Below are 16,452 nucleotides of genomic sequence, written 5' to 3'. Positions count from 1 at the left end.
ATCAGACCATGCTGCAAAGCCCAGTTTAAATGCCACCACCTTCAGGTCTTCCCAGCTGGAATCAGCTAACTCTTTCACACCACTTGGTGCTTCTCTTACAGCCATTATTTTGTTTTGACTTGGATAATTGTTTACATATCCACTCAATTCTGATATTCTCAATGTCCCTGAAAACAGTAAACAGCAGAAAGCAGAAATCAGAAAGGCAGCATTATGAAAGGGAAAAAAGTAGCAAGATGTGCTTCCTGGTCCACCTGCTACCCCAGCTCCGGGCCTCCCACTTTTATTCTGCTGAGGCTGAGGTAGGATCTGGTTTCAAACCAGATGAGCCTCTCCACTGCCAGATCAGTCTTCCACATGGTCCTTTGAGCATATTGTTCCCCAAATCAAGCCTTTCAGGTAAAACTCTATTTACAAAAGCACTGACTGTAGTTTGTCGATTTGATTTTTTATGATATTTCATTAAAGTATTATTTTCTTGATTTCTGAGGTTTTTGGCACCTCCTTACATTTTGCATCTGAGACAGATGCCTTTCTTCCCTCACCCTAGAGGTGACCCTGTTCAGGAGCTCTTGATTGCAGAGCAAAGCCTGAAACACTTCACATGATGCTCAAGGCCTCCACAAAATGACTTCCATTTACCATTCTAACTTGATCTTTAGGCTCCACTCCAACAAACTAATTGTCTCACTCACTGTCCCTTTTCTCTCCACTTCACCCAACACAGAAAGCTTTGATCCACTCCCTCCCTCAAAAGACACCTCCTGAACCTTTGACTGGCTCCCTGTCCTTGTGCTCAGATCCTACCCTGCCTCCACATTGGCCCAGGCCATGTAGGCCAGCCTAAACTCACTAACTTCAGAAGTAAGTTTTACACTTCTTAAGACCAAGGACTTTTTAAAAATTATTGTTCCTTCCATCCTCTCTTCCACTCCTCGCCACCCCGCCACACACACACACAAACCTCCTATTAGATAACCGAGTTAATGCCCAATAAATCAATTCTTTGTTTGATGTTTCAACAAACTCCAGTTTATTCCCACCTGCTAACCAGCTTATTTCATATGCATGGCAAGCAGAGGCAGTGACATGGGCAAGTGAGCCAGGGAAGTCCTCCTCCTGGGTTCTCATAGAGGCCCCATAGTGGATAGGAAGATGGGCTTTGGAGGTGGTAAAACCAGGGGGGCAACACCCTCAGGGCCCCACAGAGAGTGGTGGAGCAGCTATGGGACTGGAAGTTATTCTGGTTTTGCCTGTCATATAACCTTGACTCTTAGACACCTCTCACCCCAAAGAGAGCTCAGACGGCTCTGGGTTTCAGATCAGTATAGAGAAAGAAAACACTCCTCAAGGGAGACCTGACTTTGTCGACTAGAAAAAAAAAAGTTTTAATACAACAAATAAATATTTGGGTGTCTAAAAACAATCATCATTTAAGTATGTTGCTAAGGTCATTTATTTCAAAATGTGTGACCAGAACTGGAAATTGATATTTTTGTACAAAAATATTGGTTGCCAAGTTTAACCTTTTTATTTGTTCACTCAATGAATATTTTTTATTGCCTACTGTGGGCTAAGTACAAAGAATAGAGTGATGAACAAGACAGACATGGTTACTAGCCTCTTGGAGCTTTTATCATACATTGTTTATCATTTATGAGAATTTCATAAATTACTTTGGAGCTCTTTAAATCAACAAATAATAACTGAGCTCATAATTAGTGCCTAGTGTAGATGGTTAAGATACATTGGTGAGGCCAGGCACAGTGGCTCACGCCTGTAATCCCAGCACTTTGGGAGGCCGAGGCAGGCAGACCACGAGGTCAGGATATCGAGACCATCCTGGCTAACACGGTGAAACCCTGTCTCTACTACGAGATTGTGCCACTGCACTCCAGCCTGGGCGACAGAGCGAGACTCCGTCTCAAAAAAAAAAAAAAAAAAAAAAAAAATACCTTGGTGAGTAAAATAGACAAAGATCCCTACTTTCAGAGAGTTTATAGTCTAGCTAGGTGTGACAACAAACAAAATAAATAAGTACTGTATAATCTATATTAGAAGAAATAAGTATATGGAAGGAAGAAAAAGTAAGGCAAGACAGGAATGTGTGTCTGGAGCTTTTGAGGAAACCCAAGGAATCCAGTGTGGCAGGAACAGAGTAAGTGAGAGGGAGCAGAGATAAAGTGAGAGAAGTTGAAAGAAGTAATAATTCAGATTGTATAGCCGTGGGGCCATTGAAAGGACCTTAGCCTTTACTCCAGCTGAAAAGGGGAGCAACTGAGGGTTTTGACCAGAGGAATGATATGATATGCTTTTATCTATTCTCAGTCTATTCTCAGACCAGCAGGCAGAGGACAGAAGAAAGAGTGGAAGCAGGGAACCTGTTAGGTAAAATACTGCAGGATCCAAATGAGAGAAGGGAGCAGCTTGAACCAGCATGTTAGCAGTGTTAATGCTAGGATGGGATCAGATTCTGGATTTATTTTGTTGCATATTGAGGATAAGAGTAGCCTAATCTCTTACACTTGTGATAGAGACCAAATAAAATTAAACATGTAAAGAGTTTATAATAGTGTCTGACACATAGCAATTGCTTAATGAACAACATTATTATTATTATTATTATTATTATTATTATTCTTCGTAGGCCATTTGTCAATGGCCCTCCATAATCCTAGAAGTGAAAATAACATTCTCATATGCTAATAGAAAGTCTTGAAAATGGGATTTGAATCTGAACTCAAAGTGGGTCCTTTTCCCCACAATGTCTTTGCTTCAAGACCAAGGATAGCCACAACCACCCAACTCGTATTGTGCCTATGTCAGCATGGATCTGTCCTGATCTCCCAGCCCTGATATTCTCATTCACTCTACCCTTCCTTCCTCACAAAACCAAGGCTCTTGGAGTGAATGCAGCCTCCTCTCATATAAGGGAGCACTTGATACCTTGTGCTTGGGCAACAAATACCTTTTCATTTCCCTTTAGTCTGGGTTGGGGAATGGGACCAGAAGCGAGTATTCAACTTGGGGGAGAATCTGGAATCCTGATAGCCCCTTGGGCCAATGCGAAGGGACCCATCTGCCTTGCCACAGGAGTTCTGGTAAACTCCAGAGGGGGAAAAAAAAAAAACCATGGAAAAGAGCTCATCTCACTAAAACTGAAATGCAGCAACCTCCTCATTCTCAGAAGAGGCTGAACGAGAGAGCGCAGTCAAGTGGAATGGTTGGAGTATGCTTTAGAGAAATTTCGCCAAAAGGGAAAGTGGAGATGGTCTCTTTTTTTAATTCCCTACCAAAAAAAATTCTGCAGAACTTAAAACTATTTTAATCAGCTGAAAAACATACGTGGGCTTTACAGCTCCAAGACAGCTTGCACAGGCCCCGATAAATGCCTATCGCTCATTTGCATACGCTAACAGCTACACTTTAATCAGCCTCCTAATCCCTGATGGTATTAATGAATTTTTTTATGCTTTTTTTATTTAGTATCATGTTTGCTAATTCAGAAATGATCAGCGGCTTCTGTGTGCCTTTTTTTATGCAGGAAATAATGGGTGAGCTGGGTACTCCTGTTATCCCGCTCTCACAAATAATTAAGACTACAAAGGGTACAAATCAGTTTGAATGTGGTGCACAAAGGCACAGGCTCAGCAAAGGCCTTTCTCTGTTTCTGTTTCTCCATCCCCCACCCCCTATTTTCTCCCTTTTTCATTTGTTCCTTTCTTTTGACAAGAGGTGGTTTCCAAAGACACCTGGGCAGGCAAGGCACTGGCCCATCCAAAATATTAATTCCCTGCCTCCCTCCACCCCCATCACCACCACCAGGGCCTGCAGAATGATGTGAGTTTTCATCTCAGAGGATTTGGATTCCTCTCAAGACTGGTTTTCACAGCACTAACTGCAGTGGAGGAAAAGAGAGAGAGAACTTCCTGAATGGTGTCTCTCCCATATTTGCCACCCTCTTTGTTTGTTCATCTTCAAGTAAGAACCTGCTAGGTGTGGTGCTACCATGATCAGGGAGATGAAGAAAGGATCTCCTCCAGCCCTAGACCTTACTCCAGCAACCTCAGGAGAGTTTGGCACGCAGCAGGCCAGGCCAGCCAGGGACCAGGGAGCTGGGCGCAGGATCATAGTGGTTTATCTAGCAACAAAACCTCCAAATAAGGCCAAGATTAGACGTTTTAGGCCTCCTGGGAATAAAAAAGAGAGAGAATGAAGGGGTCAGTGATTACTCCTCTGAAGAAATGAGAGAGGCTAGCATAGACAATAGAAATTCACAAGTAATTCAAAGTTTATTAGCCAACATGGTTACCTAACAGAGAATAGATTTGCATTTTAAAGGCTCAGTCTGCCTGCTCATATCACTAGTGCTGGATAGGTGAGGCCCCAGAATTATCACCCAGAGAAAGGAGGAGGAGGTGCTAGCCCTGGACAACCTGCATCCTAGATAGTGAACTCTCAAACAATGACAAATGGGCTAGAAAATATAGACACAATCTGATCCATATATATTTATAAGTAAATTAGACGGTAAAACTGCTATATATTTTAACAAGAAAAATAAACTGCTGAATATAAACATAAAATGTCCAAAGCACCTCTAGATACTTATTTTTTAAAGTTTGAGGAGGGGTCATGCCATTCAAATATTTCAGTATATATGACTATGTATATATATGATTTTTTAAATGTCCTTATTCAGAAGAATGTTGGGAGAAATGATGAGACCACCAAATTTGCAAAGTCCTTTGCACTGCAACAAGAATAAAGCATTGTATGAATATGTGAAGATCATCAAATCAGTGGCCTCCCATTCTCATGCAGTGGTCATCTTATCACCTGGCATTCTCTCACTACTCTGTAGTCATTGGAAAATGGCTTGGACTTCCGGACACCAGAAAAGTACAAACACCTTAATTATGACTTCTGGTCTGTCTTCTTCTAGTTTAATGTCTTTTCTGTATTCCTAATAGAACATTCTCTGGCAGACAATAGACACCCGATAAATGTTAAACTGAATGACTTTGGGATGCCATGACTAACACATCGTTGGGAAGCTATTGCTGACATTGAACTTATCATCTGCTTTAATTGTATGAAGAAAGTTCAATCTAAGAATATAATCTGACGTTAAGTTTATCAGAAACTTAATAATACATTTTACCAAGATAGAATTATATTCTACTTTTTAACTCATGAGAATTTAGAGACTCTTTACCCCATTTTATTCCGTTTGCCCCATTCTCCCTTAGCTTGACCCACCCTTAGGCCATTTAACCCCCATCAAGCCAGCCAGCCATAGATCTGTCAACAAATCTATGCTGGGTGTCTGTTTTGCCCGTGTCTTTGGCATCTCAAACTGGAAGGGAGTGGAGAGGAGAGAACACCAGTGATGCCACTGGTTGGCCATTCTGGAGGAGAGTGTGCGCTATCAGGGGAGCATTGTTTAACATTTGGTCTTTCCTCTCTTCGTAGGCATTATTTACTTATGTTATTGTTTCCAATGGCATTGTTTAACCCTTGTTCCTCATTAGAATCACCTGAAAAACTTTTTTAAAAATACCTTTGGTATATCTTACCATCGAAAATTCTGATATAATTAGTCTAAGGTAGGCCACTTGATACTGATAGATTTAAAATGTGACCAGGTGATTCTAATGCACAGCAAACCAGTATGCTACAGCAAGCAACCCAACAAATTTCAGTGGATTTGTTTTAGTAACATATATGCACAACTTCATTACTTTTTTATTTCCAAAAGTGCCCTAAATCATGCATTTAGCCTTGTGAAGTATGGAGGAGCCTCAAGGAGCCATCTATGATCTTGATGTTATTGTATGTGTCTGAAAGTCATGTTTCTCCCAGGAGCCCACATCAACAACACAATAACTATTTATGCTCCTTCATATCTGAAAAATAAAGCTCTTGAAGAAAGAAATTTGCTTCTCAATATGAAATATTGAGGGCAACTAACACCAAGATGCCTAAAGCCTCAGTATAACAGATGTAGTGTCCTGTTTTTCAGCTTCACAATCAAGGGATTCTGCTCTTTCCTTCATGTGTTTACAGGTTATCTCTGGAATTGGTTCTATAATAGAAGATCTCATGGAAGGAGTTTAGGATCACAGAGAAAAATCATCAGAGGCATCTTTAACTTCACCAAAGTGATCTGTAAGCTGAGACATTGAGCACAAAAGGGATAGAGGCATATTGTGAAAATGAGATTTGTTCCTGATCTTGGCAACACAAACCAAAACCATGCCATCGATGGGGAAGTATCTTGATGCTAGCAAAATGGTTTATAGATTTAAAGCAATTTATAGAAGGATATCTCTGGTTTGTTAATATTTAACTATCTCTCAGGGAATAACATTGAAGATAAATGTAAATAAGAGAAAACTGGACTGATAGATCTTCCGAACATGTGGCTCACTGAGAAGCAGAAAGAAATCCTGGAGATGGCAGATTCCAAACACTGCAGTGTGCTATTCTTGATAATGACACGAGCTCATGTTGGGTTTAAGTTTAATTCAAAGCCAAGCCCTGAGTTCTCTGTGAAATATGACTTTGAAAGCAGCCATTTTCTTCCAAACACGGGAACTGTCCCATCTTCCTTCAAAAGATGGCTGGTTTTTAACATCTTCTTTCAGGGTAGGAGGAGCCATCAGTTTGCTTTCATTGTAAACCATGTTTACAAGCTATATATTTTTACTAGTCCTTTCGTAACATCAAACAAGCCAAAATGATATTCCCATAAGTACTCAATCATAGAGAAGATTCTTCTAAACTCATCCATTCATTCATTCACTCATTCAATAAGTTCATTCTATGCCAGGCTGTGTACCATAGAACTTTGGCTTTTACCTTTTTTTTTTAACTTTTTCCTCACCACCTTTGCATAATGAACTTGTCTATCCAGTTGGCTCCTCATTTGATTTTAATGGGTGTATGTGTGTCAGCTTTCCTATTGCCTCAGAGATTTATACCCAACATGATGATTTTTGTTCTTCCTTTTCCTCCTCCCTTTAATCAAGACCCTGATAGTTATTCTTTCTATTCCATATATTAATATTTGCTGGGTAGCTCCAAAGTCTTTCAGGATAATGCATTCAACTATCAAGTGTTTCTGTGTCCCTTTGTTCTCCCCCTTGACCTGGGCAGGCATTTTTCAACTTAGGTTGTTCCCATGTGAAACATTCCAGGAGCCGGTGCTGCTTTGCCTATGGTGTGTTTTGTTTTGTTTCAGTCTCCTGAAGATCTTTAAATGGCTTTGTTTAAAAAATCCAACAATTTCCAAATTGGGGGATATAGGTTTCCTTTCATGTACCACTCTCCTCAGTAAAGGGTTTATGGTTTATTTGCATTCACCATCAGGGAGTTCTCCTTCATATCTACTTTGTATCTTTCTCCCTACAGCCGTAGGAATCACAGGGTTACCAGAGGAACTTCTGATGCAGACAGCTCACACCAAGTTGTAACAAATTAGCCTGTGTTTCATGTACTCTTACAATGGGGTATCTCATAGGAACATGTGGTCTTTCTGAGGGATTACCTCAAGGAGGGACTGCGTAGTACTTAATGCATGTTTGTACAGGAATGAAATGGAATCAACTGGGATCATAACTTTACTTGTGATGAAAGAGGGCTTCACTTTCTTCAGGTAAATCCTCCCACAGTACCGTGACACCCCAGCCTCATGCTCTATTTCCTGCCAGGCTTTAAAGCATTGTCACTTCAGTGGATGTGGGAAAGGGGTGTCACTATCTCCTAGAACCTGGAGAATTGATATGTCAGTGAAGCAGAAAGCTTCCAGGCCTGCCCCTTTCCTTTTCAAGCACTTAGAAACTCAGGAATGGGCAATTCCAGGTGGGTGGGAGCCTTCATGGGCATACCCCAGAGCTGCCAATCAGGATTCCATGTTTGGGGCAGCCCCTGGTCCCCAACCAAAACTAGCAAAGCAAGCTTGTCCAAGTGATGTCAATGGGAGTTACATATTCCAGCAACAATGATAATCATGGAAACTATTAGGATTACCATCCAGGGCTGTCACAAGAGGAGGAGGAGGAGAAAGAAGGGAAAGATGGATCGAGCCACCTGATCCCCATAGAAAGATAATAAAGTTTGCAAGTAAAAATTTTGACTGAGGTGTGGATTACAGCTATTAAAACAGTTCTCCCCCCTCTTTCTTATTTGAAGAGAGAATTAAAAGCAGGTTTTGAGAGGTGGAAGAAAACACTGTCAGCTCCACACACAGGCTGGCTGATTTACACAATCCATTCGGGCCATTAGTTTTCATTAAAGATCAAATGGAATGGGTACTTACTTACTAAGAGGCCTTTGGGGAACTGAATTGCAGAGAAGAAAGAAGATTAAACTTTACATTCAGCCCAAAATTTAATTCACAAGTAATCAATCGCATAATGGGCCAGCAACTGTAGCTGGGTGATTGAAATGAAATTACCATATTTTTAATCTTAATTTTCCACACTGTTTATCTGACACTGTCAATATAAAATACAAACAGATAATGAAATAGCATTATATTGACACTACAATCATCTCTTGAGCAGCCCTCAGTGATTAAACTGCTGGAATGTTTGATTACATTTTGTTGGCTGACATTACAAATGACACGGATGCTTCAGTGAGACTAGCTGCAGGCTGGAAAATGAGCCCATCCATCAAGAGCGCCTGGCAGCTACCCCTTTCAGTCAATAGCTGCCAGCATCGGGCACTTCTGTCAAAACGTTTAGCAAACAGAAAGGGGGAGAATAAAAGGAGAAAAAGAGAGAGCGAGAGAGAGGGAGAGGCAGAGCAGGGGGAATGGCAGGGAGAGAGCCTGAGACAGAGGGAGAGAAAGCCCAGGCAAGGGAGGAGGGCCAAGCAACTGGAGCTCGGAGCTTACTGCGGGAATAAATACTTACATAGGGATTTGAGGGACTAAGAAATGAAATTTGACAGATTCTGTGTCATGTTCTGGCAAGGCGTTGTGATAAGAGGTGCTTGTAGTGGCCTGAATAACACACAGGACAACAATGCGCTTGCTAGCCATTATGGAAACAGATGTTCATGCAATTAGAATCAAGCCCGCATGAGGAGGATTTGCTGCTATGCAACCACGGGGAGCAGGAGGCTGGGTGGAGGCTGGGGGTGTGGGGAGACAGCCTGGGTGAGAACTCTGTGCTAAGAGCTCACTCAGGGAGTTTTTGGCATCATCTGGGCTGCACACTCGTTGAGCCCGGAGCCTGCTTGGAGCATGGCCAAGGGCAGGCCCTGATTTGAAACGGCTGCTGTGCCCAGCATCTGTGGAAAGTGGGCCATGTAGAACATATCTCTGTTATTCCGCCTCTCCCTCCCTCCCTCCCACCCCTGCTGTGGCAGGAGTTTCTGCCCAGGTAGGCAAGGCCCCAGACTGCTCTGGCCCACAACTTGTAGAGGCCAGACAAGCCTCTACAGACCCTTGTAGAGGAAGCCGGACAAGCTGAGACCAGCCCTGACCCTACTTTGTTGACCTTGTAGGGTTCCTTGGCACCCCAGATTGATGGAAGGATTGGTGCAAACCCAGCCTTTCCCAGGAGTACCTGCAGTGTCTACAAAAGTTACATGAGAAAGGAGAGAGGACAATCCCCAGACTAGGTCTCCACAAAGCCCAGAATTCATCTGGGAAGTGAAAGGAGCCCTCCCCTCCAACTTAGGTGTAGGGAAGTGCCTTATGAGGCAGCCATTTGAGGGAGACTTTACTATCCTAGTCTCTTAAAATCTCTAGAAAGAAAGCAGGCAAGCATTGGTTTCAGTAATTTAGATATTCACCTTCCTGAGAGCAGATGCTGGAGTCTGGGACTCTACAATTGCCTGCTGAATCTGGATGGGGTTTCAGCTGCCCTGATTGTGCCGCTAAGGATAAAGGCAGTGTGGTGCATTAAGCACGTGACAATGAACCATTTGCATTGACCAAATGATGGGAACTTGGCTCAGCTCTCTGCTTTCCTTGTCCAAAGAATGGCTGGCATTGCTGTCCTTTTAATTATCCCTTTATTCAACAAGTATCTACTGGGTCTGCTATGTGCCAGGCTCTGTGTTGGGGGCCTGGGTTCAGAGATGAGGAAGGCACCACCTTTGCTGTCAAGTAACTCACCTTCAGGAAACATCAAGGACTGGAGGATAAGCCTGGCGTCCTTAGGAATATGGAGGGTGGGAATGGCAGTAGAGTGAAGCCTTCCTGAGATGGTAATATCTGAACCAAGTTTTAAAGTCAAACAGGAGTTAACTAGATTAATAAAATGAAATAGAAGAATGTGATGCAAAGGAAACATAACGTGTAAAAGCCCCAAGGTGTGAAATGGCCTGGCACATTTGAAGGACTATAAGAAATTGTTGTTTTTCTGGGATTGGCAGGTGAGGAAGCTAAAGAGGTTGGTGGGAACCAGACTGGCCATGGAGGAGAACTCATGGGCTGAGATAAGGAGACTGAAATTTGTGCCCATGGCCATAGGAGCCTCTGGAGAATGTGACAGGGTGGCGGTGGGGATGGTGAAAGATGCATTTTCTACAAATTAATTTGATTATAATTCAGGACATTGATATCCAGATTTTCTTTAAAAACACACACTTAAGAGAATTTTTGCTGGAATGTTTATTAGATAGGCAAAAACTTGAGCCAAAGAGTCCTCAAAGATTTACTATTCCCTCTCTAGATTTAAGAACCTTTATTTGCCCTTATGAGAGGAGACATATCTTGGCAGGGTCTTACTGATTTGGGGAGTGACCTGTGTATTTACTCCTGATCATAACTGCAAAACCTTTTAAGCCTTCTAATATGATGATATGACAGATACATGGCTCTAGGGTTGTGTGAGCCAGAGACAGCAGATAGGATTTTTCATCCTAAATCCAATATTAAACATAGAATACATATGCCTATAGAATATTCCAAAAGACACAACGGTTGCCCAGCATCACCCAGACACAGATGAAGTTTCACTGTCTGGGAAAGCAAGAGGACTTGCTAATCACCCATTACCTCTGCAAACCTGCCATGAATATCAGAAAGAAAGTCACTACTTTGAATGAGACATCAGAGAACAAAATGTCTCTTGTTTTTATAAGAGATTATTAAACTGAGCCCATGCCAGCAACAAAAATGGAGGCAGCCCCATGTTATACCGGCTTTGACTCTGCAGATTAATAAAATAATAACCCAGTTAGAAAAAGCAGTTCTTGTTTATTGTGGAAAATGCTAAAAATATTTTAGAACATCAAGGTGAAAATTGAAATCATCTATAGCTTCACCTTTCAGAGATGAACCATTAGCAGTCTAATGTATTTCCTTCTAGTCTTTTTTTTCCATCACATTAATACAAAGGGTTGTGACAATTTGGACTTGGCAACAGTTGATTTTTATATTATATCTTAATAAAATATTTTCTGCTTTTGCATTTACAGAATAAGTAAAACTGTAACTTACTGTATATTATACAGTTTGCAAAGCTAACTCTATGTACTTTTGAGAGTTCTATCATATTTCTTAGAGACAAAATAGTTTTTCACTGGAAAGTTGGGAGGAAGTAACAGGCACACACTGTCACCTAATGTTACACTTGTATTAAATATTATATCCTAGTTTTTCAGTTCACATTATGCCATTAGCATTTCTCTATGTCATTAAATATTATTTAAAATATGATTTTAATTAACACAACATATTTCAATGTAAGGATAATCTGTTTAATTTTTCACTGAAATAGTTTCTCACTCTTCAACATCAAGGATATTTTCAGATTTTTAAAATAATATATATTTAGGATGGCAAATACTCTTGTACAGTAAGTCCTCACTAACATTGTTGGCAACTGCAGCTTTAAGAGAAATGACATATAATGAAACCAATTTTATCATAGGCTAATTGATATAAACAAGAGTTAAGTTCCTACAGCATATTTCTGGTCACAAACATATCACCAAATTTCTAAGTAAAGGCCTAAAACACTTCTAATGTTAAACATTGAAATAAATGTGAGCTATGCATACATTTAAGAAATATTAATAAAAACAAATATGATAATTATTTACCCAATTTTTGGTGGATCCATGAATGGTTGTAATGGTAGTGGATTAAATCAAGGAATAAATGTTTGCAAGCAAAAATTGTAAGGAGTACCTCCTACAACCACACAGTTCAAAACCAAATACTAACCAATATGGTAGGCCCTCTGAAAGATTTTGTCCCATACTTTTTATTGTCATGCAATTGTATGATTATCACATATTTTATAAATTTTTATTTCATGATCATTTGTATTCATTCATTCATCCCTTTTCAATCCACTTATTCTAAGTCAGGGTCTCAAGAGGCTGGAGTCTATTCTAGCAGCACAGAACCTGAGGCAGAAACCAATCATGGCCAGAATGCCTTTACATCAGAGGGCACACACACACACACTCACTCAGACTGGGACAACTTAAAAACAGCAATTAACCTAACATGCACATCTTTGAGATATGGGAGGAAACCAAAGTACCTGGAGAAAACCCACACAGACATAGGGAGAATGTGCAAACTCCATACAGACAGTGGCTGCGTCTGGGAATCCATTTTTTTCTCATCAATGTTTTAATGAAGTAACATGGAACAACACAACATTATTCAAAGGGCATGCGTATCTTTGGCCATATCTCTGGTTATTTCTTTAGGACAAACACCTAGGAATGATACCTGTAGATTTCTGTAAGATTTTCGCTTAGGCTCAGGGAGACCCAGTATTTTTTAGAGGGCCTCCCCCTTAAACCTGACATGTTGTGAATCCCTGAAGCATCATTTTCAATCAAACAGGCTTGACAACCACTTCACCTTCATCTTCCACAGACAACAGCTTTTTGAGTTTCCCCCTTTGTCTATTCCCTACCTGTGCCCAGCTCAGACCATTCCTGAGCAAAATGGGGTAATATATGCCTATCTCCCCTTTCTTCATGTGTTCTCCTCCCAGTCCCTCTTTAATGCCTTTTTTCCAGAGACCTCCAGTGCCCAAGAATATAAGATGTTAATTTCTTAAGTCCTACCTCCCAGAGTCTTAACGACTTAATCAGTATGACTTCCATGATTACTTGCACTTTAAAGGAGGGTCCTAAAGAAAAAAAAAAATGCTTAATGCAAAAAAAATAAAATAAAATAAAATAAATAAAAATAAAAATAAAAAAGACTCCGCAATGGTGGAAATCACAAAAACAAACAACCAAAAAATCAAATCAGAGAAAGAGAGAGAAATTTGCATGAAGTCAACGGGAAAGAAAAGGTATTGAAGCCATGGGCTTAGCTAAACTTACCTACCAGGATTGGGAGGAGGGAAAACAAAAGTGAGCCAAAGATGGAGTCCTAGGAATACTCAGTGATGTGAGGCCTCCGGAGAGAGCCTGAGGGGGAGTGAGCAGGAAGTCTGGATGGTGGGGAATGACCAGAGTAAGACGGTGGGATGGGAGGCAGAGGGAGCCGTTGCCTGCCAGATGAGCAGTCTGGCAACAGGCCTAAAGGCAACAAGTGAGACACTGCTGTATAGTCTCCGGCAAGAGGATATTGTGTGGAAGCCAGTGTTTGAAGATTGTTTCAGTAACTGTGGCTTGATAAATTGTGGAGGAGAGGATGAGGAGCAGGAAAATCAGCCACAAATGTGGCAACCCTCATAGCTAATATTTACTAGGCATTTATTGTGTGTCAGACACTGTGTTAAGTGTCTCACATGTATTAACTCATTTAAAAACTAGCCCAGATCCATGTTGTATCATTATGCCATTTTATAGGTGAGGAACTGAGAACCAGAAAAGTTAGGTTACTTACCTAAAGCCACACAGCTAGTAAGCAGTAGGACAAGGATTCAAACCTGAGTGCTTAGCCCTACACTGCTAATCTGCCATAAAGGTGAGGGCCTTGACTGTGGAGGCAATTACTGTCATGAAAAACAAGAGCATGCATTAGTCACCATGCACACAGTTTGTGTTCTGGTGCACAAGGAGAGCAGGGCATAGAGGGGAGGGGAAAAGAATGCCGACTGCTTCTCAGAAAATTTTCAGAGATGGCAAAGCCAGGAACTAGGAGGTAAGAAATGTATGGTGTTGCAAACTGCAATCATCACACGTTCCAGCAGCACAGCTGCTCTTCTGTGACTCAACAGAGTCGTTTATTATTCTAGGCAGAGACCTAGGCAAGGCCTCTTAGTCTTTTCAGGCTGCTAAGAATACCATAGACTGGATGGCTTAAACAACACAAATTTACTTCTCACAGTTCTGGAGGCTGGGAAGTCTAAGATCAAGGTGACGGCAGATTCAGTGTCCAGTGAGGACCTGCCTCCCGATTTGTGGATGGTGGTCTTCTCACTGGGTCCTCACGTGGCAAAAGGGAGCGAGGGAGCTCTCTGGCTCTTTTATAAGGGCACTAATCCCATTCATGAGCATTCTGTCCTCATGACCTAATCACCTACCAAAGGCCCCAACTCTAAAGACCATCGCATTGGAGGTTAGGATTTTAGCGTAAGAATTGGGGGGTGGGGTTGTGGGGGGGACATAAGCATGCCATCTATGGCAGACAGTCTCTGCTGGACTTAATTCAGGTAATATTTAAAGAGTAATAATTTCCTCTTACTGAATATCTATTATGTGCCAGGCATGAAGTTAGCAGCTTGGCATGCATTATCTAATTCATTTCTATTTCAGAACTATTTTTACTTCTATTTTATAGATGATAAAACTGAGGCTGCAAGAATTTAAGTGACTTGCCCAAGGACACATCAAGACTTGAACTCAGGAAAGTCTGGCCACAAAGGCTGGCGGCTCCCTGTCCACCTGGCTGAAGGGAACATCCCCTGTTCTAGTGTTTGGGCCTGTCCTCTCATTCCCCAGAGGAGCCCCCTTTCCCAGAAAGGAAGAAAGCCTGAGATTTTCCTTCCTTAGACTTGTCGTCATCACGCACCGCCCTGCTTCCATCTTCCCTTCAAAAAGAAAAAGAAACCAATCTGTCAGTTTCTGGGACTTGTAGTTGACAGACATGCCGTTTTATTCAATTCATGACCTTGTCTGGATATTTCCTTCTCTTTTATGAACTCCCAGGGAGCACATGGGAATAAGCACAAGATGTGGGATCAAGAAGCCTGGGTTCAAGTCGTGGCTCCTTAGCTCATAGACGCATGATTACAAGCAAACCTCAATTTCCTCCTTGGGCTATTGGGAGAACCAAGTGAAATGATGCATGTGAAATGCTTTGTGAGCTGAAGAGCCCTATGTATCTATTCCACAACACCAACCCATTCTCCCTAGTCAGTCAGAATTGAGTCCAGAATAACTGTCCCCCATGTTGCCTCCTCCACATTAGGGGAGATGAAGCTGTCGACAGGGAAGTGGGGAATCCATCAGAGGTCTGCTGTGAGCAGAACCACCTGCCTGCCCTGTCAGGGCTGGAGTCAGAGCCAGGCAAGATGGCTCGCGTTTATATAGGGCTTTGCAGTTTACAAAGCACATCGACATCTATTACCTGGTTTGCTTCACACCACTCTACGAGGCAGGCAGAGTGGACAGCATTATCCCTGCTGGTCAAAAAAGAAAGCTAAGTCTTCAGAGAGGTAAGTTGTCCAAAGTCTCATAGTTACCATTGGAGAGCCGGGCTCAAACCCTGGTCTTGCCTTGGTGGGTGACTGCTGCCTCTAGTTCTGGAAGGGCAGGTCTGTGGTCCACAGCACAGCTACCTCACTCTGCTCAACACATGGACTAGACTGGAGAGCATAATGAGAAACTGTATAAATCATGCATAAATGTGTCGTTTTTTATAAATTGTGTATATAGTTATGTATATAAATTAAACATAAATTAACTTCAATTAGGCAGTTTTGTCTTCATTTCAAATTGGGAACATCTCAAACATTCTGGAAGGTTCTTGAAAACCCTATCAGCCCTAAGCACAGTGTCAATAGAGCCTAAAGGTTAAAACCACCTGCTCCCCCATCCCCATGCCAGCTCAAGGAACTCTACAATGCTCAGTTCACCTCATTTAAGCCCAGATATGAGATCTTCTCCCCATAAGTGAGCCAGGAAACCAGGGGTACCCTTTAGGTTAACAGCTAGCCAGGTGCCTGTTAAAAGGACTGCTCATAACCTCTTCTTGCTCTTCAAGTCTTAGCCTAACCATCACAGCTCTGGAAGCCTTCTCTGATTGCCAAGCTGGCAAAGATGTCCCTTTTCTATGTTCCCAAAATGCCCCGTAATGAGTTCAATCTGTGTTAAATGTCAGTTGCTTGCATGATATCACCTACAGAAAGTGAACCTCTAAGACCAGAGACTGTCTGTCTCCCTCCGTATAAGAACAGTCAATAAATGCTTCTGAAGCATGTGAGTGGTGAATAAGTGAATAAATGAGTGAATGAGTGGGTAAATAAAATAATGAATAAATAAATGGAAGATTATTTACATTTCCTC

At 41.7% G+C, this 16,452-nt stretch overlaps 1 annotated feature.

Annotated features, from left to right (window-relative positions):
* Positions 8,042 to 9,510: an enhancer, noted in NCBI's record as "VISTA enhancer hs208". NCBI's record gives its function as "enhancer in: limb[8/10]" and the evidence as "EXISTENCE:transgenic organism evidence [ECO:0001131][PMID:17130149]".

The sequence above is a fragment of the Homo sapiens genome, chromosome 3, assembly GCF_000001405.40.
Source record: "Homo sapiens chromosome 3, GRCh38.p14 Primary Assembly".
NCBI classification, from domain to species: Eukaryota; Metazoa; Chordata; class Mammalia; order Primates; family Hominidae; genus Homo; species Homo sapiens.
Note: the sequence above shows the minus strand (reverse complement) of the source record. Positions and strands in the feature narration are given on the sequence as shown.